The sequence below is a fragment of the Homo sapiens genome, chromosome 15 (assembly GCF_000001405.40).
Source record: "Homo sapiens chromosome 15, GRCh38.p14 Primary Assembly".
NCBI classification, from domain to species: Eukaryota; Metazoa; Chordata; class Mammalia; order Primates; family Hominidae; genus Homo; species Homo sapiens.
In genome coordinates this window covers 71,190,346-71,216,498 of record NC_000015.10, presented here as the reverse complement: position 1 = coordinate 71,216,498, position 26,153 = coordinate 71,190,346, and the positions used below count along the sequence as shown (strand labels likewise).

The following is a 26,153-nucleotide window of genomic DNA, read 5'->3' as shown; positions in this document are numbered from 1 at the left end:
AAAGAGCATGTGGCTGGGGAGGCTGGATGTGTCGCATCTCCTTTCCACCTTCAGGCGGCTGGCAGTGACAGCTTCCATCACTGAGCTAAGACAGACTCTCATGCAGCAAGTGGCCACCGTGGCAAAGGGTGGCCATGGAGACTGATGCTGAACTGTGAGTGGGCAAGGGGGCAAGGCAGCCCACCTGATAAGCTCAGGCCCTGCCTGCTGGGCATTAACAGGGCTTGACAAATGAATTACGCATTTCTTAAGCAAAGAGAGCACATCTTACACTTTTTGTTCTTGTCCATATTTGTTTTTTGTTACTGTTTTTGCATTAGTATTCTCCCAGGATCTATCAGGAACCTAGGCACTAAGACACCCAACAAATACTGCCGGATGAATGCAGTGATCTGTTAGTATCTATTGCTTCACTCACTGACAAGCTCTTCTCAGCACCGCAATGCCTACTTTGGCATATTTATGCTTCTTAGAGCTATACCACTATTCTGATGACACTATGCCATTTCTAGAGTTTACATTTTATGACTCTGAAACAGTTTAGGTCCTTAGACATATCCTCAAACCAATGTGTTGACTCAAAAAACTTCGGAGAAACTTACTAGAAAAGTTCACAGAATCTGGAAGCCTACAGCTTGGGAGCATTCTAAGGCTCCAAACATTCAACTTATCCTAGGATTGGCAACTCATATCAGCTTTCCGGTTAGACACACTTCTTCTCGTCTTGTGTCCTCAGCTTTAATCCACACAGGCTGAGGATCTCTCCTTCCCGGCACCCGGACAGCACTCCCCTCCTGCTTTCACCCCTCTAGGAGGCCTCCCTAAAATTCTTCCTAAGGGCATTCTCAGAATTAGCCTGGCTTTGAAGATTATTCAGAACCACAGAGTGAGGTGGGAGTGGCCTCAACACTTTACAAGGCTGCAAAATAAATCAAAAGGTGAAAGGAGCTTCGTGGAGCCCAGAGCTCCTTGCCACCTGGCAGAGCAATGCATTAGTCGCACTGTCTGTGGTGCAGAGCAGCGTGCGAGGCAGGGGCAGGGACAGGGGCAGATACTGGGACAGGGACGGGGAGCGGCACAGACAAGGGCGGGCGTGTACCTTCTGTCCCCAGTGACTTCGAGGCCCTGGGGCTGTGGGTGCCGGCTGCCTCGCAGCACCGTGGGGCCCTGGCGGCTGGCGTCCGTACCGGCCAGCGCTGGCGTCTCGTCGCGGCTCCGGTGCAGTGGCACCGACGTGCGCACCGCCGACACCACGTGGTCCGCGAAGGCGCGCGCAGGGGCGCCAGGCCGCTGGCCGCCGCGCAGGCGGTAGGAGCGGGGCAGGCAGGGCCGCGTCTGCTCCATCACGCCGCCGCTGCAGCTACGCGAGCAGGCCGACCAGGGGCCCCAGGCGCCCCACACTCCCGGGGCGCCGCCGCCGCCGTCGTCCTCGGGGGCGCCCTCCGCCGCCATCCGCTGCGGGACCTGCGGAGACAGAGGCAGGTTAGGGGACCAGAACACCGCTCCTCTCTTCACCCGAAAAGCTTTGAGCAGGGTCGACTTATCCATCAGGCACAAGTAGGCACAGTCTGTTTCAAAGATAAGTATTAATACAATCCAGCCTGGCTTAGAGTCGGTTTTTGGAGGAAAGAGGGCCCCGCGAAGGCAAAAATGCCTAGGCCCCGCGAAAGTCATAATGCGGCCCTGGCTTTGGGTGTCATGGCCTTGGAGGGCTCACGCGGTTTCAGGAGTCCCCTTTAACCTCCAACTCGGTCTTCCGGATTCCCGCCAGAGGGACTGGACTTCCCATAAACTGCAAGGAAGACATGCCTTGTGTCACCCTGCCGGAAAGGCAAGGAACTGGATGGACACTGTGGTTGAGAGGCCACCGCTTTAGAGCCAGACTGCCTATGATTACACCCCTGCCACCACTTCCTAGTGTGTCCGGAGTTTGTTCCTTCCGGTGGGTTCGTGGTCCCACTGACTTCAAGAATGAAGCTGCGGACCTTCACAGTGAGCGTTATAGCTCTTAAAGGTGGTGTCACGGAGTTTCTTCCTTCCAGTGGGTTCGTTGTCTTGCTGACTTCAAGAATGAAGCCGCAGACCTTCGCTGTTGAGTGTTACAGCTCACAAAGGTAGCACTGACTCAAACAGTGAGCAACAGCAAGAATTACTATGACGAGCAAAAGAACAAAGCTTCCACAGCATACAAAGATACCTCAGCAAGTTGCGGCTGCTGGCTGGGAGGGACTGGAGGGACTGGAGGGAGTGGGGCGGGTCGCCAGCTTTTAGTCCCTTATTTGTCCCCGCCCACATCCTGCTGATTGGTCCATTTTACAGAGTGCTGATCGGTCCATTTTACAGAGTGCTGATTGGTGCATATACAATCCTCTAGCTATACACAGAGTGCTGATTGGTGTGTTTTTACAGAGTGCTGATTGGTGCATTTACAATCCTTTAGCTAGACACAGAGCCCTGATTGGGGCGTTTACAATCTTCTAGCTAGACAGAAAAGTTCTCCAAGTCCCCACTCGACCTAGGAAGTCCCCCTGGCTTCACCTCTCAATAGCAGTGTGACTGGGAAGTTTCTGAATTTCTCTGAGGCTCACTGTGCTTTAAAGATGGATAGTACCAGTACCTACCTTGTAAGCTGTAAGGGGATTTAGGTTAGGCCATCCATGTGCATAGCAGAGAGCTTGGCACTAAACAAATATTTGTTAGTAATGATAATAATGTCCCTGCTGCCATGGTGACTTGGAAGAGGTGAAAAATGTCAGAAGGTTCAAAAGCTCTATCCAAAGAGTGATCTATACCCTCATTTAACTGGTCATTTCAGAGACCTACTGTGCCAGGCTCCATGCCAAGAGCAAGCACACTGTAGTTTATTCATTATGAAGACATGCTCTGAGCACCAGCTGTATGCCAGTGCTGAGCCAGGCCCAGAAGACAAGGGAAAACACATCACAGGTCCACACAAGTGCTTAGACCCAGCAGCAGATGAGCTCTATGCAGCCAGTACAAGATTGTGGGAGGCTTTTGGAAGGGACTGGCTGTCCTGGCTGGGCAGGGTGAAGGCGGGGAGAATTGAAAAGACCTCAGAAGAGGAAACGGGAGTCACAGTCATAACTGTAATTGTTCAGGCACCTGCTCGGTGCCAGATTACATAGCTCATCTCAAGAAGAGATCATCCTAGGTAAGCCAGGTGGACCCTAAATCCAATGACAAGTGCCCTTATAAGACATGGAAGAGAAGACACGGACACAGAGACAAAGGCAATGTGACCCCTGAAGCAGAGATTGGGGTGGTGTAGCCACAAGCCAAGGAATTCCTGGAGCCACCAGAAGCTGGAAGAGGCAAGGAAGGATTCTCCCCTTAGTAACTTTGGAAGGAGCGTGGCCCTAGTGACACAGATTTTGAACTGCTGATCTTCAGAATTTCAAGAGAGTAAATGTCTGTTGTTTTAAGCAATCCAGTTTGTGGTAATTCATTATGGCAGCCCTAGGAAAATAATGGAGTGTGCTCATACTTGGAGAACAAGGAAGGAAAATGGGCAGGCACGGGCCACACTCCTCCTCTGTGTCCCATGCTGCCCAGATGGCACATGTGTAAATGGCCCGGCTCTGTGACACAGGCAGCACTAGCGCCAGTTAACACTTTCCAGGGCCCCTCAGCTCCCCCAGCCACCCAGAGAGGTTGATGTTATATGGCTCCTTTTAGAGGGAAGAAACTGAGAACCTAGGAGACTTTATGTCTTGTCCTCCGTCTCAGGCTAGTGCAGGGCACAGACAGGACTAAAATTGTCTCCCGACTTCTGGTCTAAATTCATTTTTCTCCCTGCAGCATGTGGCCTCCCTGCCTACATTGTTGCTAGAAAACAGAAGGTTAAAATGAGAAGAAATAAAACCACTTCGACAATTGTCCTGGTGGAAGGATCATTGGGATAAACGAACAAAGGCAGAAATATGTTTCTGGCACATTTGGAGATTTCAGTTATCCACCGCCTCCTGATCTCTCATTAACACAGATAACTAAGACACTGCCTATAATACTTGGATTAGACATACAGCTATACTCAAAATCCACTTCCTAGAACTAATCTCACCCTTAATTTAGTTCCTATTGCCAAATTGGGCAGGTCCCTGGGGGAAGAAAACATGAAGCCACATTCCGTCCTATTCTATTCATAATAATTCTCTAATTTATAGTCGAATTATGGTGAGTGACTTGAAATTCCATCTGAGTCCCCATGGTGAGAAACTAACCACATGCTCCAGAATTGCATTTTTATAGTATGTAGCCAGAAACAAACAAACAAACAAAAACACAGAAAAACAGAAAGGAACGAAGGAGTAGAAACAGAAAGAGAAAGGAAGAAAAAGCCAATCAAAGAAAAAATGAGGGGATGAGGGCTTGAGATGTTAGCCTGCTAGTTGCATTGACCACCCAGCCTCCCTCCACTCCTTCCTGATCCTCCTGACAACCCTCTCCCCTTCTTCTGTTCTGATAGTCAAGGAGTTTTCTGTAAGGCAAGATGCAAGATGGGACAACTTTCAAGTGTTTTGAGACATAATATTCCTAAAATTAGGACGAACTAACAGGACCTCTGTTAGTGACAGGCAGCAAAACCAAATAATAAATCATGGTAAGAGACAAAAATAATTGAACCTCGAAGCTTTATAACCTGCCAGCGTGCTGCTCCGTCCCCAATACATACTGACATGTGAAGACCAAAGCAGAAAACCTGTTCTAAAATGCACCCTAAACTGCTGGTTTTCTTCATTTATAAATAATTCTAACAAATCAATAAGAAACAGACAACCCAGTGGAGACAGGATCTAAGGGTATGAACAGGTGGTTCACAGGTGTTGTGGACTGAACCTGTCCCTCCCCACCATTCATATATTGAAGCCCAAATCCTCAGTATGATTGTATTTGGAGGTGGGGCCTTTGGGAGGTAACTAGGTTTAGATGAGGTCATGAGGGTGAGGCCCCCATGATAGGATTTATGTCCTTATAAGCAGAAGAGAGACCAGAGTAAGGAAGAGAAACCAGTTTTCTCCCTCTCTCTCTTAGCCCCACTCCCCACCCCACCATATGAGAACACAGGGAGAAGGCAGCTCTCTGCAAGCCAGGAAGAGAACCCTCACCAGGAAACTAAATCGCTCAACACCTTGATCTTGGACTTCCCAGCCTCCAGAACTATGAGAAATAAATTCCTGTTGCTTAAGCACCCAGTCTATGGTTTATTATAGCTGCTCAAGCTAATATACAACAGGAAAATAAATAACATATGAAAATTGTTTAACATCACATATAATGAAAATAATGCAAAATAAAGCACCAAAATTCTATTTAAAACCCATTAGACTGCCGAATATTATAAAGTTTGACAATACTGATATGGCAAGAATGTTCACTGCTGATTAGAATCTAAATTTGGGCAACTTCTTGGGAGAGAACTTTGCAATACCTATCACAATTTCCAATGCACATACTCTTTCACCAGCAGCTCTACTTTTAGTAGTTCATCTTACAGATATACTCAAAAATACTATATAAAGTTATATATATATACATAAAGACACATATTGCATCATATTTTGTAAGAACAACAGTAAAAAAAGGAAGCAACCTAAATGTTCATGAATAGGAGCCCAGTTAGAATGAAATCTATCCAAACAATGGAATGTAATTTATCTGGTAGGATGAGGTAGATTCATATCTGTTAAAAGGAACAGCTCTCCATATATTTTTTCACTATATTAATTAGTGAAAAAACAAAACTATAGGACAGTGTAAGAGAATAAACCTATTTGTTGATATCACTCTTTAAGTGTTCAGTTGAAACATTAAAAAATCACTGATATTTGACCATCTTTGATCTATAAAAATACAATTTCATATGATTAATACTTTCATATGATTCAATCTAATATGAGTAGTTTTCTGACCTTGGCAACTAACAGAGCCCAACTAGAAAATCTTTTCCCACCAAACAAAGCAGCAAGAAAAATAAGGCAGAATGCAGTGTGTCCTCATCACCCACCCCTCACCAACTTCCTATACTAGCCAGTTGCCCTGGGGATCACATCCACACCTTGCAGCAGCTGGCAAGGCCTATTAGCAGGTGTTTAACAGTGACACCAATAACAACTATTTATTTAGTAACAGAATACAGGCCAACCGAAGGCTAATTACTTTATATATATTATCTAATTAATCCTCAAAACACCCACCTAAAGAAACTATCATCACCTCCCTTTACAGATGAAAAACTGAGGCTTAGAGTTTATTTCTAGAGTTCAAAAAATTCGTAACAGTTCATGAGCACCCAGGATACCTCCTGTGATTTCCAGCAACGATTAGAGTGACCTTAGGGGTAGCTAAGATTCTGCACTGTGTACATGTGAACAGAAGGTCACAAAAATTGGAGTGATAGCGTTTAAATGACTTTATACCCAATGTATTAATCCGTTTTCATGCTGATAATAAAGACATACCCAAGACTGGGCAGTTTACAAAAGAAACAGTTTTACTGGATTCACAGTTCCACAATCATGGTGGAAGGTGAAAGGCACATCTCAAGAGAGAAGAACAAGAGAAGAGAAGACAAGAGAAGAAAATTGTACAGGGAAACTCCCCTTTATAAAATCATCAGCTCTCGTGAAATTTACTCACTATCATAAGAATAGCACAGGAAAGACCCGCCCCCATGATTCAGTTGCCTCCCACCAGGTCCCTCCCACAACACATGGGAATTGTGGGACCTACATACAGTTCAAGATGAGGTTTGGGTGGGGACACAACCATATCACCCATAGACTGCTGGGTCCTAAGAAAATCTAGGGTAAAGTTATTTAAATGATCAGAAAAACAAAACAAACAAAAGAGATCTTCCATTATGGAAAACGACATGTTGGTGTAAGGAAAGGAGTGGAAGATGAAGTTAACATTGGATGGCTTCAGCCTTCTATGAAAGAGGTAAGGTCTGCCACTGAGGGAAGGGAAGAGATATGCTGGAGGATTACAGACAGAAGAAGCCCAGTGGAAGAGCAAAAATACCCCTTATCTGCCCTAACTACTTTAACACAAACTCTCTGATACTCACAAGATTCATTTCAAGGATGTATATTTCCATTTTGCAGATGTAGTCACTGAGGTTCAGAGTGTCCGTGTGGTCTAGTGGATGATGTGGGCTTTAAAAATATATGTGAGATAAAAGAATGCGAATCTGCTAGTATTACTTGGTAGATGAAATGAAATGGCTAGGTAAGGCATCTAACATGTCCCCCAGCAGGGACAGAGGAAATCTCCACTTTGTCCCTTCACTGGGAGAATGTACACTACCATTCAGAAGCTTTATAATGTGTAAGACACAGGTCCAACCCAAGAATCAAATCAGTGCTCTCTCCGCTTCACTGGAGGTTTTAAAGGATGGGGGTGAGGTGGGTGTCAGGGTAACATAACAGAATTAGAAGAGGAGCTTGTTCAAAGCACACATGCCATGCCGTGACCCTTCCCCCAAGAGATTATGACCTGCCCTGCATGGGGTGAGGCTAGGGTTAAGGGGGCCATGTATTTTGGATGAAATCCTCCAAACCTGATATCCCCCTCCTCATTTAAAAACTACTGCTTGATATTATGGTGCCTCTCTAAATAGTCATGATGGGCCATGAGCCAGGGAGCAGGAAACAGAAACGACATCCAGAGCCTGGCACGGTGGCTCATATCTGTACTCCCAGTACTTTGGGAGGCTGAGGTGGGTGGATAATTTGAGGTCAGGCGTTCGTGACCAGCCTGGCCAACATGGTGAAACCCCGTCTCTACTAAAAATACAAAAATTAGCTGGGCATGGTAGTGGGTGCCTGTAATCCCAGCTACTCAGGAGGGTGAGGCAGGATTATCACTTGAGCCCAGGGGGCAGAGACTGCTGTGAGCCAAGATTTCACCACTGCACTCCAGCCTGGGCGACAGAGAAAGACTCCATCTCAAAATAAAAAAAAATAAAAAAGAAAAGAAAAGAGAAAAAAAGAAAAAGAAACAGCACCTAGAGAAGTTAGAGAAGCAGTGTAGTCCCCTTCCCATTTAACTCAACTTGGGCTGTGCAAGAGACTGTGACAGTGTTAGAGGGAAACTGAAACCCCTGCCAAAGACTTTGGATTTGGAGCTGGATGCCCTAACTGACCACATTTTGAGATCGGCTCTATGGAAGTGTTGGTTAATGTTAGGCAGGGACATTTGCATAAATATATATCCATAGGAAGGTGTATATATGGGGCAGCATTCCCCTTTCCTTAGGTCTGTAGTCACCTCTCCACATTGGATTAAGTGTGGTGGAAATGTATTCAGGGGCCCTGCCAGCTAAAGCCAAGGTAGGCAATGTGGATCAATGGACACTTCCTCCCTGGAATTTGAATTTCCAGCAAATTGACCAGCAGACCAAATGGCTTTGAGTCCTTGGCTCCAGCAGCAGCTCCTTTGAACTTGCTGTTTATGCTGAGACCAATCATGTGCAATTGCTCTCTGATGTGCCTCACTTCCCACCTGCTTCCTAGACTCGTTATTGTAAATTCCTTATCGCTTATGTTAGTTTCTGTTGCTTGCAGTAAAGAACCCTAAATGATATCTAAATCAGTGGTCCCCAACCTTTTTGGCACCAGGAACCAGTTCCATGAAAGACAATTTTTCCACAGATGTGGTGGTGGCGGGGGTAGAGATGGTTTCAGGATGAAACTGTTCCATCTCAAATCATCAGACATTAGATTCTCATAAGGAGCGTACAACCTAGATCCCTCACATGCACAGTTCACAATAGGGTTCACGCTCCTATGAGAATCTAATGCCGCTGCCCATCTGACAGGAGGTGGAGCTCAGATGGTAATGCCCGCTGACCCGCCGCTCACCTCCTGCTGTGCGGCTGGGTTCCTAACAGGCTGCGGCCCAGTACTGGTCCACAGCCCAGGGTTTGAAGATCCCTGATCTAAATGATTGCAAATATTACAATATATGCATAAAATGTGGTAATCAAGATAATGTGAAATGAACTGGGTCTGCCTTTGGCACAGGACTTGGAGGACAGAAAGCAGCTCCTGGAACGAGCAAAGGCTGGAAGAGGGAGGTGGTCTGGACTTGGCAGAAGCCTCATGATTAAGCGAGCCCAGGGCAGAAAGAGTCATTTAGCGGCAGTAATTGACCACAGCCAGAGTAACTACAGAACCATGGTCTCCATGAAACATGATGGGGCCAAGTGAATCAGAGGCTCACAGGAGAGACAGCAGGCGAGCTTTGAGAAGAACAGGAGAGGTAATTATCAGAGCAATTGTGGATGGGGTTTATTTCATCATAGCCTTTTTAAGGGAAATGAACATAAATGACCAAAATATAAGGATGGTCAAATAAATGAGGGTCAAATGAGTCCATGAAACATCATAATCATGAATAATACAGAGCAATATGGAAATAGTCTTGTAATACAATATTAATTGAAAAATGTCAAATATAAACTTATAACGACACCATGATTATAATAATGTAAAGATTCTGTAGCATAGGAACAGAGCCTGGAAGGTGACATGGAAAAATGAAAACATACGATCTGTTACTGAAGCTGGACCCAGGATAAGTTTTCTCGTAATTTAAAAAATTTCAGTCATGGTTACAATATTGCTTGCTCAATAAATAAAAATAAATAGATTAAATGGAGAAAGATTTGGAGCAGATTGTGGAGAGTGGGAGGCACAGAGTGAACTAAGAGTTGGTGATAGTCTTGTCACAGAAAACCCTGGAAATTTCTCATCGCCACCAGTAAATTCATAACCAGAACAGCTCTCAATGTTTTCAATGGATTTGGTTTCTGTACTAATGTGAAATCATGTAAGGTTTCACTGGTTTCTAATTCTCTTTCTACAAAATAAACCTCCCATCTGTTCTTCATAGAAAACGAGTCACATGCAAAGTCTGAAATTCTAAAGTCTCATTCTAAGAGAGACTGGAAAAAGTAGGTTTAGTTTTAGCCACATAACCAAGTCAACACTCTAAAGCAAACGTTTCAAAAATACACCTTGGAGTTTGAGCCCTGAGAACAAAGTTTTGGGAACCTGAGAGCAAATGAAAGCAGGAACATATAGCTGGCTGCTCAGCTAGGACAACCTGGGGCCTGTGCAGGAGCTCGGGGAGGTGGGACCACTTCATAGAGAATCTCCAAACGTGGCCGGGCGCGGTGGCTCATGCCTGTAATCCCAGCACTTTGGGAGGCCGAGGTGGGCGGATCACCTGAGGTTGGGAGTTCAAGACTAGCCTGGCCAACGTGGTGAAACCCCGTCTCTGCTAAAAATACAAAAATTAGCCAGGCGTGGTGGTGCACACTTGTAATCCCAGCTACTCGGGAGGCTGAGGCAGGAGAATCACTTGAACCTGAAGAAGGAGACTTTCGACTTGAAACAAGACTTTAGAATTTCAGACTTTGCATGTGACTCGTTTTCTATGAAGAACAGATGGGAGGTTTATTTTGTAGAAAGAGAATTAGAAACCAGTGAAACCTTACATTTCAAGCAAGGAGGAGGAGGTTGCAGTGAGCTGAGATTGTGCCATTGTCCTCCAGCCTGGGCGACAACAGCAAACAAAATTCCATCTCAAAAAAAAAAAAAAAAAGAGAATCTCCAGACTCCAGCCAGATCTAAATTCAGTATTATCACTATGGTGATAAATCATCTGAGACAGATGATTTAATGTTACATCTTGATCAACTATCTAGACTCTGACATGACACATTGCAAAAGGCCCCAAATTTTACCTTTCAGCATTCGTGTTAATGCCAGCAGCTGCAGTATCAGTGTAAGAACCTCACAGTATGGAAGACGGGAGCACAATACATTCAGCCTTGATTATTGGATCAGAATTGCCCCAATAGAAATTATTATGTAAATGAGTTCTACAAATGCATTTCAGGAACAGTTAAATGATGTATTTGCACAAAACCAAAATAAAGGAGGAGTGGGTAGAGGCCCAGGGAAACCAAGATAAATGAGGAATGAGACAGCCACGCTTTAGAGAAAATATGAACCATGCAGAGGAAAGCACCACTGACATGCAGCCACCCAGCAGCTAAGTAGTTCTGAGTCTGGTGTTCTGCACTTTCCAGCTCTACCCGAAGGCTTTCTCTCAATACCTGTGTCCTCCCAGTTGGAGAATTCTCACAGTAAATGATCTCAGACACACAAACTGCACCATACTTCTCCAAGTATATGTTATTGAGTGTATACCCTGAACACGTGGACATGCCCCTGCCCTATCTCTCCTGCTGCTGTGCTACGCTTCTCAAGGTGAGAGCCACGGGGTAATGTGCAACACAATCTACCTGACGTATAACTTGAGAAATGCAGATTCCTGGTTCCTACACCAAACCTAGTGAATAAGAACCTCTGGGGAAAGGCCCAGGAATATGCATTTTAAATAAGCTCCCCAGTGATTTGAATGCATCCTCTGGTTTGAGAATCACTGACCACTGGACACCCCTATGGGCTACTCAAAAAGAAAAGGGCTAAACTGAGCTCATAGGCTGCTACTTCCTTAGCCCCCAAATGCTCTAGCCACATGATTTTATTACCCTCAAATTTCCTGCATTTTGAACCACCCCTTCTACTTCTGCCATTCAAGTTGAGGCCAACTCAGAATTTCTCATACGAGACAAGGAAACATTCATGGACTGAGAACTGCCCCTCACATGGTACGTAAGCTAAGCAGATTCCACTGGAAATACCGTATACTTTTAATAAAAGAGGTATAACAGCAAACAGGAAATGTAGAAAGATGAAAGAAGAGGAAAGGGTGGACTCGTGGGAAGCTCTGGACTGGACCCTGCAGGCTGGTCCCAAGTCTGCCGTCCCTCTCTTTGTGATTTGAGGCCAGCTGGTCTGTGGCTCGGGACCTCAGTTTCCATATCAGTAAACTGAGCTGGTTGGACTTAATGAGGGCTGAGGTCCCTTCCAGTGCTAACAGCCTCTGATTTTTCCTGGAAGCACACTTACATTTCTTGCCACTTATTGATTCGCTTCAAGTACCACAACAGGGAGAGGCAATCCCAGGTTGTACCCAGGGCTCCCCACTGCCAGCAAAGAGGCTCTGAGCACAGAACTTCCCTAAACGCAGTGCAAAGGAGGCCCGGATGGATTTCCATGATCTTTAAAAGCAGGGCCCAGCCAAAACTACGATGCAATGAGGTAAATATTTGGATGTGATCTGCATAATCGGAAACACTCTTCTTTCTGAAATTGACCTGACTCTTTCATCACCAGCCACATGGAAACTGTACTTCGTTATAACTAGAAAATAACACAGGGCATGTGCCTTGGTACCCACTTGGCCCTGTGTTGCTGTGCAGTTACTCAGGAAACAGAAGCAGATGTCTCTGTGCAGTGCCTGGTGTGGTTTTTGTGATAGCCTCATGCTCTCCACGGCAAGTGGCTATTTGCAACCCAAGCCAACCAGGACAGTCAAAATAATGAGTAATGCATGAAATAAAGAGTGCTGGCTTCTGGACCCAGAGGCTGATTCGGGGAACAGCAATCTTCTAGCAGAAGAGTCTGCCTGGTCACTTGGCTGTCTGCATCTGGGTCAATATTCAGCACTCCCCAGAAAGCCCCTGAGTTCAGCATGCCGCTTAACAAAGGCAAGCCGAAAGCATTTTCATGGAAAGCATCAGCATCCAGCAGAGAACACAGCACGCAGCAAGTGTTCAACAAACACCTGCTGAGTGAAAGAGGCTGCAAATGGATTGAGATTTGACCTTACCTGGATTCCCTGCCTTAGCCTTTCCCTCACCCACTCAGGCTTCCCTGTAACACCAAAGGTATTTTAAGATGGAGTCTTGCTCTGTCGCCCAGGCTGGAGCACTGTAGCACAATCTCGGCTCACTGCAACCTCTGACTCCTGAGTTCAAGGTTCAAGCAATTCTCCTGCCTCAGCCTCCTGAGTAGCTGGGATTACAGGCACACACCATCATGCCCAGCTAATTTTTTTTTGTATTTTTGGTAGAGACGAGGTTTCATCATGTTGGCCAGGCTGGTCTTGAACTCCTGACCTCAAGTGATCTGCCCACCTTGGCCTCCCAAAGTGCTGAGATTACAGGCATGAGCCATCACGCCTGGCCGCCAAAGCTATTTTCTTAAAACCTAGCCCTACTGTGTTACTCTCTTGCTTACCAATGTCTCCTGGGTCCTCACTCTCCAAAAGATAAAATCCAAAATTACTCTTTGCCATGGCATCCCAAACCTGTCACCATCTGGCCTCAGCCTTCCTTTCCAGCTTCAACTCCATCTCTGTCCCCCTATGCTCACACCACGCAAGAACACTTTCTCTCCCTGCCCACCTTCACCTGGCTGTTCTCTCAGCTCCAATGCTCTCTCTTCTACTCTGCCTATGAACATACCTTTCTCATTGAGATCAAGCAGGCTCTCTCCCATTCTCCAGGGCCATTACACACCCTTCTCCATAGCACTTACCACCTGGCACTGTCATTATCTTTGTACACAGCTACGTCCCCACCAGCAATGTGAGCTCCCCAGGGCAGGAATCATGTCTTATTTATTTTTGTGTTCTGCCCGCTCTCTCTAACAGAGAGTCTGTCACCTGGCTGATGCAATCTGCTGAAGGTTACGCTGCTGGGAAGCAGTGCTGCCAGAATTCAAACTCAGATCGGCCTGCTCCAGAAGCCAAGAGATGCCCACCCCCTCCCCGCAACCACCAGGCTTCTCTAGCTGGGGTTGCTAGCAGCATGTCAAGAAGCGCCAGAGAGTCCCCCAACAAAGCATGTGGCATCTTCCCAGGTTATCAGATTCCTCAAGGGCTTTTTACAAAATGGGGGAAAACGGCTGAATTTTTTTTCTTATGATAAGTAATTTAAAACATTGTTTTAAAAATTAGAACAACCAGTTATCTTTTGGGAACAGATGTCACATTCTGAGGAATGTTTAAATAAAACAGTAGCCTTCAAGAAAATTCCCAGCATTCAGTAGGCCACTTTGGGCTTCTGCAGGCCATCTGTGTACGTGTGTGTGTGGGTGCATATATTCACACTCTTTTGCTGGTGGGGCATTTTGGTGGAGATGTTTGAGAAGCACTGCACTGTCCTGGCCACTACCCAAAAGTGCTAGAGTTGAAATGAATTAGCAGACAGGAAAGTAGCCAAGAGATGACCACCCTAAACAACGACTTTCAAGGCCACAAAGAGCAGTTCTACAGAGAGAAAGGTAAACAGGCCTCAGCTAAAGAGATTTGGGTGACAAGGCAAAGACACAGATCACTACAAATAGATGATGTTTCCAAGGAAGGGGATGTGCAAAGTCCCCTTCCCAGAGCAGTTCCAGATTGAACGGATCAGTCTTTCAGGGATGGCTTAGGTGTGGTCTCGCCTGAAAGAGAAAATCTCTGGAAATTACTTCCATCTCAAGAACTCTACGGTCCAGACCACCACCAACAGCCAAATTGGGAGCTCCCACCACTATTTCTGCCATGAGAAAAAGGGGCCCCTCTTAACAGATCTTTGGCTTGATCTGAACCTTCTGGCCCCAGCTATTCACAGAAGAAGTTTCCCAGGCCAGATTCCTTGCTCTGGCAAAGAACTGAGCACTGCAGCAGTGCCTGTGCTACCAAGGCGGGCTCCTCTTGCCTTCTGCCCATGTCGACGTGAACCATATGTACAGCAGAAAGGAGCCTCTCTCAGCAGCCCTCCTAGGCTTCCCCAAACATTTCAAGTCCCCCTGGCTCCGAGCCAAGAATCCCTCTCAGAGCCAACAGCTTACAGCCCATTAAAAACCCTGTGCAAATGCAAACACTCTCTCCATTAGACAAGGAAGAAACAAGAACCACGCCTTGGGACTGAGCTAGCAGTTGTTGAAACTAGACGAGGGGCTGGAGTCCCTGAAGAGGAAATATCACTGTATTAAAAACCACAGCTATTTCCAATGCTCACAGTCAATTACATGGGAGACCAAAGGTGCCCTTGGAGGCACTGCGTGGGCAAGCCGATTCTGCCACGTTACAGGCAGTACCAGTTTGGAGAGATGGGAGGTAACTTTGGATTTTCTAGCTGTCTGAGGCCTGAGATCCAGTGTGTTTAATCTTAAAAATACTACATGAGTACATTCATAAAGTCATTTAATCCACACCCTGAGCCTGTGAGATCAATATCATCCTCATTTTATCCATAGGAGAGTCGCTAATCTGTTTAGCATCCCAGATGGCCAAATAGACCATGTTTATTGGTGAGCAGAAGTACCATTATGAAAGCCCTCATCCTCCTGGCCCTTTCTTCTACAACACGGGGTCCTCCATCTCTTTTTTTTTTCAAACAACCACTTGGGAGTGTTGGTCATTGGGCCTAAAGAAGACAGAAGGCTCTATTTAGGCCTCAAGTTCAAGCTACACATGACACTTGACTTTAATGGAAGTCGGCACTGGGGGTCATTAGGCACCAACCCAGATAGTGTTTCCAGGCATTTGATTCACAGCGTAAGTCTTACTGTGAACTCAGTATAATGGGAATGATTATAAGTGAGCACAGCCACCATCACATGGATATAGGGCACAAAGGGAAGCCAGCTTGGGGCATGGGAAAGGCGGCTGCTCGCGAGACATGGCACAGCTCCATTTTGGGCTTGCCACCAATATGGCATCTCACACATCTGTTGCCCTTGGTGATTGTGGATGGAGTTGCATTGTATTTTCACTCTGTGCATCCCCACATCTTATTTCAATTGTATACTTTATTGATTATAACAATGGATTATGATGGTCATGGCCTATAAAGTTTACTAAAATATACTTTGTGGCCACTGAAAGCATTAACTAAATCCATAGAGAAAAAAACTATTTGGTTACTGCAAGTATAAAACCTTCAAACACTTAACCCTTTTCAGAACCATTATTCGGAACAATGGCTTTGAGCACTTGATATTTAGCCCAAGACCTCTCAGGAACATAACTAGTGCCTTATTACAAGACACATCAGACTTTGTTTCCCATTTGCTACTATTCTCAGATTCTCTTTCCTTTGAGAATCCCACAAGCAGGCTTCAGGCATTTCAGGGTCCTCGGCCATAATACCATCTGATGACGTGAAAAGCTCACCAGGATCCAGTGCCAACATTACAGACAAAGCACGCTGAGCCATACCACCAGTGAGAAGCCAATCCAGGACAGCAGCTCAGGATGTCCCATGCTCCATCCACCACCCTCCCCCTAGTCAACATAAGGTGCAAAGTCAGAGAAGCTGCAGACCAGCCTGTCTGGACCAACAATGACTCGGTGAACAACAGACCTATGTGAGAAGCAATGTGGTTTCTGGCTAAAAGAAGAGTCACAAAAATGAAAGGGAAGCATGCTGCGCCCAGGAATGTGCAGGGAGCGCTGGAAAATGCTCTCCACCACCCCTAGCACTCTGATACTCCCGACTGAAGGAGAAGCCTAGGGATGGCTACAGAGGCCTCTGAAATACCTATGACTGTGGCTGCTTCTAGAACAACAGTTCTCAACCAGAGGCAGTTTTGCCCACCAGGAGACAACAGACAATTCAGACACCCTGCCATACACACACACACACACACACCCCACACATGCACCACACACACATACCACACATGCACCACACACACACACACCCCACACATGCATCACACACAGCACACACACACACACCCCACACGTGCATCACACACACACAGCACACACACAGCACACACCCACACACCACACACACCACACACATCACACACACCCACACACACTACACACACACTACACACACACACCACACACCCAGACACCACACACACCACACACACACACACCCTCCACACATGCATCACACACACACACCACACACACACCACACACACCACACACCCACACACCACACACACCATACATCACACACACCCACACACACACACTACACACACACCACATACACACACCACACATACACACACCACACACCCCACACACACCCCACACACACACACACACCACACACACCCCACACACACACACCACACACACACACCCCCCCCCACACACACACACAGTTATCTGGCCCAAAATGTCAACAGTGTCTAGGGTGAGAAAACCTACTCTACGATAAGCCAGGCATGTCCTGAACACCTCTCAGCCTTCTCTGCAAAGCCCCAGTTCTGACTTGTGCAGAGAAGAGAAAAGCAAAAGAATCTAGTCCCCAGAGCATGGCCATCGCAATTGAAAGGAGGAAGGGGACGGAAACTGAAAGGAGGAAAGGGATGGGGCACAAAATCATAGGGAGCAAAGATCCAAAAAGAAACGGTCCAAAGGGAATGGGATTGTGGGAGGACACATGGGGACCCCGAGTGGTATCCCTGAGTCTGCCTCTAATGTGCTGTGGCATCCATGCAGAGTCCAGGGAGGCCAGTTTGCTTCTTGGTGCATCACTAGTGGCTGTTGACATAGGCTATTTTTAAACAAGGTCACTAATAAAATATACAGTAGGGGATTGCCAGGGAATCTACTATTAGGAGAACTTCTTAAGCCAGTTGACTAAACTTGCTATTAATGAAGTTAAATTGTGAATATACTCAGACTAGGGCTGGCCAAGTAGGATGAAAAGGAATGTCGCTCTGATTCATTAAATGGTAGAGGCAGAGCCCTTGCAATAATTGGGTTATATGTGAAGTTTTATTCAAAGACATAGGGATCATCCCTTTCAGTGAATGGTGGAGTGTCCCCACATGCATGGCTACAAGACTTAACTCTACCTAGAGCCCACATATGCCAGCTGGGGTTCCTGAATGCCAGGGATACCTGGCCAGGAGGAGGAGGCAGACCATGAAAGATTAGCAACCTCCTTACGATGGATTTGAGCATCCTTCTGACCCATAACACCCTCTAGGCCAAAGCTACACTTGAAGTGACACTAAGACAGTGATTTGGGTAAACTGAGGCAACTGTTCAACTAGGAAGAGGAGAGAGTAGGGGAGGAATGGGTGACCCCTGAAGGTCCTCCCAGCCTGATATGCAAGAATTCTCAGTGTCCTGGATATAGGCCTAAGACAGGCTCACTACAAAGAAAGGGGACAGAGCTGCCTGCCAGGAAGAGCCAAGTGAAGAAAGTGGCATTTGGGCAGCACAGTCTTCTGTGCCAGCCTCAGGAACCACAACCTTGTTGGCTTTTCCCATTCCTGCTTTGATTTCTTTTCCCCACCGCATTCTCCAGCCCTTTTTTTCTCTAAAGACAGTGTCTTGCTCTCTTGCCCAAGCTGGAGTGCAATGGCACAACTGTGATCATAGCTCACTGCAGCTTCAAAATCCTGGGCTCACGCAATCCTCCAGCCTCAACCTCCCATGTAGCTGGGACTATAGGTTCATGGCACCATGCCTGGTCAATTTGTTTATTTTTATTTTTCGTAGAGACAGGGTCTCACTATATTGTCCAGGCTGGTCGCACACTCCTGAGCTCAAGTGAACCTCCCACCTTGACCTCCCAAAGTGTTGGGATTATAAGCATGAGCCACCATGCCTGACTGCATTCTCCAGCTTCTAAGCCACACATGTATATTCCTCTGAGAGCCTTTCCATTTGTGGCATCAACCCCATCCCCATACCCCAATCACCCAAGAGTGCCAAACACACATAGGGCCAGCACCCTATAACCACTTGCTCACTTCCCAGAGCCCAGTAAGGATATTCAGGGGGCAGACAGGCAGCAGGTATTCAGTGGGACCCTCAGGCAGAGAAACAGAGAACCTGACAGTCCAGTGGGGGCAGCAGATGCGACCTTCTTCTTGGTGGCCCTTGGAGAACAAAGGCCAATCCACACAGCCCATGGAGCACCGAGTTCAGCCAGCGGAGCTCACTCTGCTGTCCTAAGCCTTGGAGCAGCCTGGGGACCCTCTCATCTGCCAGGAAGCACACTGGGTGCTTTCCCACGATGACAAATGAGAGCTCTACCAACTTGTGGAAGGGGGTCTGGTCGTTGAACTTGGGAAATGAAAGTGAAAGGGAGCACTGTTGGAACATCTGGGCTTCAAAACACATTTAAGGCATGAGTTCTAGAAACAGGAGATTCTTTTTAGTACTGAAAAGCCACATGAGGCAGCAGAAATCAAGGGTGATGGACTGAACTGCCCAAACCATTGAAGAGATGGCCACTTCCAAGGAAGGCAGGCTTCCCTGCATCTGGCAGGAAGGCCCCAGAAACAGTCCTTTCCTCTCTTATTTGTCCTTATGGGTTCTAAGCATAATCGAGCTATCACACTCTAGGTACTGTGCTGAGTGTTGGCCATGCATCAGCCCTGATTCCCAGGATAACCCTGTGGGGCAGGTCGCATTAGGTTTGTAGAGGAAACAGAAGCTCAGAGAATAGTTCTGTTGCACTAAGCTGAAGGGCACGTTGCGACCCAGGTCTGTTTTAAGAAGGTTTCCTGGGGCTTTCAAGAGCAGAGAGACTTGTTTTTCTCTTTCTCTTGCCCAAATACAAGGCCAGGCAGATGGAAGCTACCTAATGAATGCATAGTGGGTTGAATGAGTCCTTCCACCTTCATGCAGGAGTCCTAGCTTTGACTTCCCTGAAATGTATGGCAGTCTTGACAATCCACCTGGAACCAACTCCTCCACTGGTTTCTGCCACGCATACCATGATGCCATCTTCCTCCTCTCCCTGCCTCTCTGACAGCTGCTTCTGCTGCTATTCCTCATTTTACTTCCTCCAGAATCTCCCCCTAACACCAGAAGCTTTCTCTTTCCCGTGTTCCTGCTTGCCCATGCTCACAGCTTGTCTAGAATGTAAGCCAGAGAATATGACTGACAATAGCTGCCTGGCATTTCTGCCACCATCTTGATTGCCACATTTCTGAAACTCATCTCACTATCTTCTCATCTGACCCACTCAAGAGCACCTCCTCCTATGATACTTGGTGTCTGGTGGCAATACTGCCACTGTCCCTAAAGCCACAGCTACAAAGTGGAGTCATTCTTTTTCTCTCTCTGTCTCCTTCACTCCTCCAACCTGGTCAGTTATCGAGTCTTCTGGATTCTTGCAATAATCTCTCTTTTTCAATTTGATTATAATTCCCCTAATTTGGATCGTACAGTTCTTAGTGGAAAACTTTACCTACTATAGCCTGGCTTTGAAAGCAAGCAGTCCTGAGTTCAAACGCTGGTTCTGTGATTTATAAGCTCTGGGACTCTGGGTGGCTGCTATGGTTTCAATGTGTCTCCTTCAAAATTCAGGTGCTGCCAATGTGATAATATTAAGAAGTGGGGCCTCTAGGAGGTAATTAGGTCTTGAAGATCCCTCCCTCATGAATGGGATTAAAGGCCTTATAAAAGAGGCTTCTGCCACCTTCAGCTGGCTTGCTCTTCTGCCCTGTGAGGACTCAGCAGTCGGCCCTTTTGCCCTTCTGCTTTCCACTATGTGAGGATGCAGCAAGAAGGCCCTCACCTGATGCTAGCACCTGGAACTTGGACTTTTCAGCCCCCAGAACTGTAAGAAATAAGTTTCTGTCCTTTATAAACTACCCAGTCTCAGGCATTTTGTTATAGCAACACAAATGGGTGGATGCAGTGGTTATTCAACATGAATAAGCCTTAGTTTCCTCATTGGTCAAGTGTACTCAGCTTGCAGGTTATTGAATATGACAGATATCACATTGTACAGTGTCCTGCATGTAGGGAATGCTCAATAATTGGTAGCTATCACCAGTATTATTATGACTCCCAGGTGGTCTCCCTGCCACCAGTCTTTCCCCCAACCCCATCCACCCAACACACACCTCCAGAGCAACCCTCCGACAATACCACTTTTATCAGTGTCTCCCCCTTAGCTCGAAGGGCTTCAGTGGATCCTCAGTACCAGAAGGATAAAGTCTATCTCGCCTAACCTGGTATCTAAGGTCTCTCTAGTATGGACTCAACCTGCCTTTTTAACTGGACTTGTTATTGGCCCTCCCCTGGCCACCCCCTACCTCCAATCTACAAACACAAATTCCTTCTGTGCCCCCTAGAGGGGTCCACTTGGTATTGTCAGAAAACCTCATTCATTCTCACCTTCCCACTACACCCTTCTAGTGACAAGATAAATGTCCTTCCTCCCTGGCTCCATCTACTGGACTTTTCCCATTTCTGCCATCCCAAACCACTCTGCATCCCAGCAGAGAGGTTGTCTTTTGCTAAACTCAACATTTCTCCATTGCCTTTTTATATATGCTAGAGTTGCCCTTCCTAGGATTGACTTATTTTGACTTCATCCTCTTTTAATATTTTGGGATGGAAAACAACCCATATAGGGATGCATATACATCTCTATAGATTTTAATATTTCTTAATGTCTCCCGTAGACTGAGTACAGTTACGTACCTTCCCAAACATTATTGCTTTTCTACCCTCTACAATGAATTAACACGAGGCCTTGCCCATAAAAGTAGTGGATACATATTCACTGATTTGGAAAAACAGCCCCTAGTGAGAGTGTGGAGGGCCCATTCCACATGGTGGACTATGACAGACATGGTCCCAGCCCCGTGCTGGGCTTCGGAACACCAGGCTGTGCTTCATTCCTGTTCCTGCTTCTCTGGTGGCCGCCGACTTTCCCAGGGCAGCTTCTCCAACTGGAATTCCAGATGTAACATCCCACAAGGTATAACTATGTGTAGTTTTCATTCCTCTGCAGAAGAGCCATGGGCTGTGTCTTACAATCCAACAGTGCAGGTGGGAGCCACCGAAGTGAATGTGCACTGAAGACCAGGAACAGCTGGTGTCCAGAAGCCAGAGTTATGCATAGTTTTTGAGGCACTTAAGGGATATCATGAACCAGGGGCTGCTTTGGAGATGGGACTGGTAGGATCTAAATGAATTTGTAGGGGCCTCTCCAAATGGGACCTGCATGCAAGGTCAAGCCTTGTCTTCGGTAAGAGAATGAGTGACACGTAGGAACCGGGCCCAGGAGGGCAACAGGCCACATGAGATGGGGTCACTAGAGAAATTATACCCTTACACTCCCACAGGTGCCCAGAGGGGCCAAATCCATGCCCCGACCCTGAGTGTGGAAATGGCAAACTATCTCCAGACCCCTCCGCAGTGCCCTTAGTACCAAGGACTTGAGTGGGCTGGGCTTCTCAGTAGCAGGTGGCTGGGGCAAAGCTGGAGGAGGCAACTTCTACTCAGTGGCAAGAAGAGCAACCTCGGTTTGTGAAAACAGATGGAGGCATCTGTTTCTGTCATCTATTGGACAGAAGAAACAGAACATAGCTAGACTGTACTTCCATATTCTCACCAACTGCATTAGTCCTTTTTAAAGCTGCTGATAAAGACATACCCGAGACTGGGAATTTATGAAGAAAAAGAGGTTTAACAGACTCACAGTACCACGTGGCTGGGAAGGCCTCACAATCATGGCAGAAGGATAAAGGCACATCTTACATGGCAGCAGGCAAGAGAGAGTGAGAGCCAAGTGAAAGGGGAAGCCCCTTATAAAACCATCAGATCTCAGGCCGGGCGCGGTGGCTCACGCCTGTAATCCCAGCACTTTGGGAGGCGGAGGCGGGCAGATCATGGGGTCAGGAGATCGAGATCATCCTGGCTAACACGGTGAAACCCCGTCTCTACTAAAAATACAAAAAAATTAGCTGGGCGTGGCGGCGGGCGCCTGTAGTCCCAGGGGGGACTAGGGAGGCTGAGGCAGGAGAATGGTGTGAACCCGGGAGGCGGAGCTTGCAGAGAGCCGAGATCACGCCACTGCACTCCTGCCTGGGCAACAGAGCGAGACTCCGTCTCAAAAAAAAAGAAAAGAAAAACCATCAGATCTCATGAGACTTATTCACTACCGTGAGAACAGTATGGGGGAACCACCCCCATGATTCAATGATCTCTACCGGGTCCCTCCCACAGCACGTGGGAATTATGGGAGCTATAATTCAAGATGAGATATGGATGGGGGCCAAACCATATCACCAACCCTGGCCATTCTTCCTTTAGGTAACCAAGGTTCTGTGACCTGGGCCTGGAACCACAGTCCAAGCAGCTAGGAGGATCTGGAAATCCTAAGTCATGTATCATTACAGTTATCCCAAGGGTACCTAGAGGTATTTCCCTGTGCGTCATATCTCAGTGTAATGCGTGTTAATATTGCTAATCTTGTTCTGTTCAAGTTTAAGTGCTTGTGAAAATTATGCTCCTAGTTCCGTATGGCCCACGTCTCTACCACCACCCCAATCACCAAGCTGTGCCAGTCAGTGAGAAGCAAGCTTACAGGAAAGAGGGGGTCCTTTCTGAGTGTGGACGCCCAGTAAGAAACCCCAGACAATAACAGCAGCAGGACCATTTGAGAGTTGTGCCAACACTCAGATTTCCAAAGCTGGCCCAGCTCCTGATCAAAAGCAGGAATGAAGAGCATCCCCCCAGGATCCCCGCCCATCCCACTAGAAGTCATTCGTATTCCTGTGCAGTCAGCGGTTTGCAGCCAGGTTTGGCTGGGGAGGTCCCACTGCTCATTTCTCTCCTAAACCTCCCTGGTGTGCAGCCAAGTCTCCATTTTATGCAAACTTTAAAAACAGAAACGTAGGAAGAAAAACGATTCCCATGAAGGATGGAAAACTAATCTAACAAGAGATTACAGCTGTGCAGAGGGCTGTTAGGGAATCCGGGCACCTTAGCAGAACAGCTCCCCGAGGGTAGGGCAGCATCTCACATCCTTATTCATATTGTCCTGCACACAGACAGTTGTCATGGACAAGAGTATGAAGTCAAAATAAGTCAACTCTAGGAAGGTCAGCTCTAGCAAGGAAGCATGCTAGGAACTGCAGGACACTGAAATAAGTCTAGTTCCTATCCTAAAGAGTTTATAACCCGTCTAGGAGAATAATGCTGAAATACCTGGAAAAAAACTGTCGAGAACAGGTTCACTTCAAAATTCACCAAAGGAGCCAAGCGCGGTGGTTCACACCTGTAATCCCAACACGTTGGGAGGCCAAGGCAAGCAGACTTGAGGCCAGGAGTTCAAGACTGGCCTGGCCAACATGGTGAAACCCTGCCTCTACTAAAAATACAAAAATTATCCAGGCGTGTTGGCGCACATCTGTAATCCCAGCCACTCGGGTACTTGAGGCAAGAGAATCACTTGAACCTGGGAGGTGGAGGCTGCAGTGAGCTGAGATGGCTCCACTGCACACCAGCCTGGGTGACAGAGCTTCATCTCAATAAATAAATAAATAAATAAATCCACCAAAGGAATTTAAAACACAAGACAGTACACATCAAAAAAAGGCTTTTGGAATTTGGACAGTTTGGAAAGGTCAAGAAGGCCAGGTGCGGTGGCTCACACCTGTAATCCCAGTATTTTGGGAGGCTGAGGTGGGCAAATCACAAGGTAAGGAGTTCAAGACTAGCCTGTCCAACATGGTGAAACCCCGTCTCTACTAAAAATACAAAAAATTAGCTGGGCATAGTGGTGGGCACCTGTAATCCCAGGTACTCAGGAGGCTGAGACAGGAGAATCGCTTCAACCTGGGAGGCGGAGGTTGCAGTGAGCTGAGATCGTGCCACTACACTCCAGCCCAGGTGACAGAGTGAGATTCCATCTCAAAAAAAAAAAAAAAAGAAGAAGAAGAAGAAGGCAAAGCATAGGAGGTGGTGCTGCCCTTGGGGTATCAGATATCACCAAGGATTTGGGCAAAAATATAGAGGAGGAAAAGAATGAAGAGACCCGGAGACCTGGGAGTAAACCGGTTCATGTGGGGCCGACTCATATGTGGAAGGGTAAAAGGAGATGAGATTGCAACAGTGGGCTGCGGCAAGGAGGGAACAACCAAGTACAGCACTGAAGAGTGAGAGCTCAGGGGCTCAGTATGAGCTTGAATTTCTGTTCCACCACTAGTCAGCCAAGGTTCCTATCCATCTCAAAGGCTGTCTCCTCAGAGATAAAACAGGGATGATAATAATCCTGCCTACTGATTCATAAGGTTGCTGTGAAGTTTAAGTAGAATAACAGATGTACTTAGCACTATGCCTGGCACGCAGCAAATAATTAACAGATGGGCAAAGGCACGAATGGCCAATGTGAGAGGCAGCACAAAGGAAAGGCAAACCAGACATGAACCGGATAACAGAGTTTAATGCGACCAACAGCCCAGGTCTAGGAGATCAGCATAAACACTGGTGCCCAGAAGAAAAATAGGGGAGTCCAGAGACAGGGCCAATTTGGTGGGCACAAGAAGTTCTACAGACACTGTTGGGAGACTGGGACTCAGAACATCAGTCAGACCTGTGCCATGGATCTGGGGAAGGGATCCCAGGGGAAGGACGGTGTGTAGAAAAGTGCTATGGGACAAAGATGGTGGCCCTGGGGAAATGCTCCCACTAAGGAGCAGGAGAAGGCAAAGAGGTTAGTAAAGGACACAGAGAAGGAATGGAGAGGAAGCAGAAAAATTACGTTCCCAGGAACAGAGAGAGTGATCAACAGAGTCGGATGATTCAGGGAGAACAAAGAGAAGAATTGCTGTTTAGGGTGTGTTGGTGACTTCCACAAAGAGCAATTTAGTAAAGCATGAGTGGCAGCCATGAAGGGGGACGCGAGTCTAAATTTGGGAGGGCTGGCACTGAGCAGAGAGGAAAACCATGGGGCTGAGAGTTGGGGAGTCTCTGTGTGAAAACGTTTCCTCTCGATGGGACCTTCTGCATTCCAAAATTCACAAAAGGTAAGAAAGCGAGGGGAGTGACACCTTCTGCTGTTAGAGACGAATTTTTTGGGAACTGCTCCAGAAAAATGGTTCCTTTCTAGCTATTCTAGGACAGTGGCTACCACCCATTTCAGCCTCCTGTCAGGAAGCCTCTGAGACAAAAATGGTGTCAACAGGCCTTTGGCTGCTTCTCCTTTCTATTCTGTTTGTCAGAAAAATAAAGAGATGCATAGAAGAAAAGGGGATGCTCTGCAAGGGGAATCTTCAGCGACAGGACAGGAGTTAGCAACTAGTTTTAGAGTTTGCACAGCTTCTAGCAACCCCCTCAGTCCGATAGCTGTCAGCCCTAACCGTACCTTAGAATCACCTGTAATGCTCATAAAGCTGCTAGCAGCTGGAGCCCACCTCAGACATGGAAGGGAGCCCAATAGTCTGGTTTTCTTTTTGTTTTGAATTTCCTAGGTGATTCTAATGTGCAGC

At 46.9% G+C, this 26,153-nt stretch overlaps 1 protein-coding gene across 3 annotated transcripts in view, besides 5 other annotated features; it reads right to left on the bottom strand.

The window, feature by feature from the left end:
- THSD4 (thrombospondin type 1 domain containing 4) overlaps positions 1-26,153 on the bottom strand; it is a 686,490-nt gene that overhangs the window by 566,885 nt on the left and 93,452 nt on the right. For all 3 annotated transcript variants that reach the window (NM_001394532.1, NM_024817.3, XM_047433080.1), the window contains exon 4: positions 1,100-1,464. In NM_001394532.1, coding sequence (NP_001381461.1) covers positions 1,100-1,464 — 365 coding nt within the window. The remainder of the gene's footprint in view (positions 1-1,099; positions 1,465-26,153) is intronic.
- Positions 12,161-13,003: an enhancer, noted in NCBI's record as "OCT4-NANOG-H3K27ac hESC enhancer chr15:71495835-71496677 (GRCh37/hg19 assembly coordinates)". NCBI's record gives its function as "activates a minimal SCP1, AML or CMV promoter by ChIP-STARR-seq in naive and primed H9 embryonic stem cells {active_cell/tissue: H9 hESC(naive and primed)}" and the evidence as "EXISTENCE:reporter gene assay evidence [ECO:0000049][PMID:30033119]".
- Positions 13,004-13,848: an enhancer, noted in NCBI's record as "NANOG-H3K27ac hESC enhancer chr15:71494990-71495834 (GRCh37/hg19 assembly coordinates)". NCBI's record gives its function as "activates a minimal SCP1, AML or CMV promoter by ChIP-STARR-seq in primed H9 embryonic stem cells {active_cell/tissue: H9 hESC(primed)}" and the evidence as "EXISTENCE:reporter gene assay evidence [ECO:0000049][PMID:30033119]".
- Positions 16,293-16,793: an enhancer, noted in NCBI's record as "H3K4me1 hESC enhancer chr15:71492045-71492545 (GRCh37/hg19 assembly coordinates)". NCBI's record gives its function as "activates a minimal SCP1, AML or CMV promoter by ChIP-STARR-seq in primed H9 embryonic stem cells {active_cell/tissue: H9 hESC(primed)}" and the evidence as "EXISTENCE:reporter gene assay evidence [ECO:0000049][PMID:30033119]".
- Positions 16,794-17,294: an enhancer, noted in NCBI's record as "H3K4me1 hESC enhancer chr15:71491544-71492044 (GRCh37/hg19 assembly coordinates)". NCBI's record gives its function as "activates a minimal SCP1, AML or CMV promoter by ChIP-STARR-seq in primed H9 embryonic stem cells {active_cell/tissue: H9 hESC(primed)}" and the evidence as "EXISTENCE:reporter gene assay evidence [ECO:0000049][PMID:30033119]".
- Positions 20,875-21,169: a silencer, noted in NCBI's record as "tiled region #1499; K562 Repressive non-DNase unmatched - State 13:Ctcf". NCBI's record gives its function as "represses a minimal TATA promoter and a strong SV40 promoter by Sharpr-MPRA in K562 cells {active_cell/tissue: K562}" and the evidence as "EXISTENCE:reporter gene assay evidence [ECO:0000049][PMID:27701403]".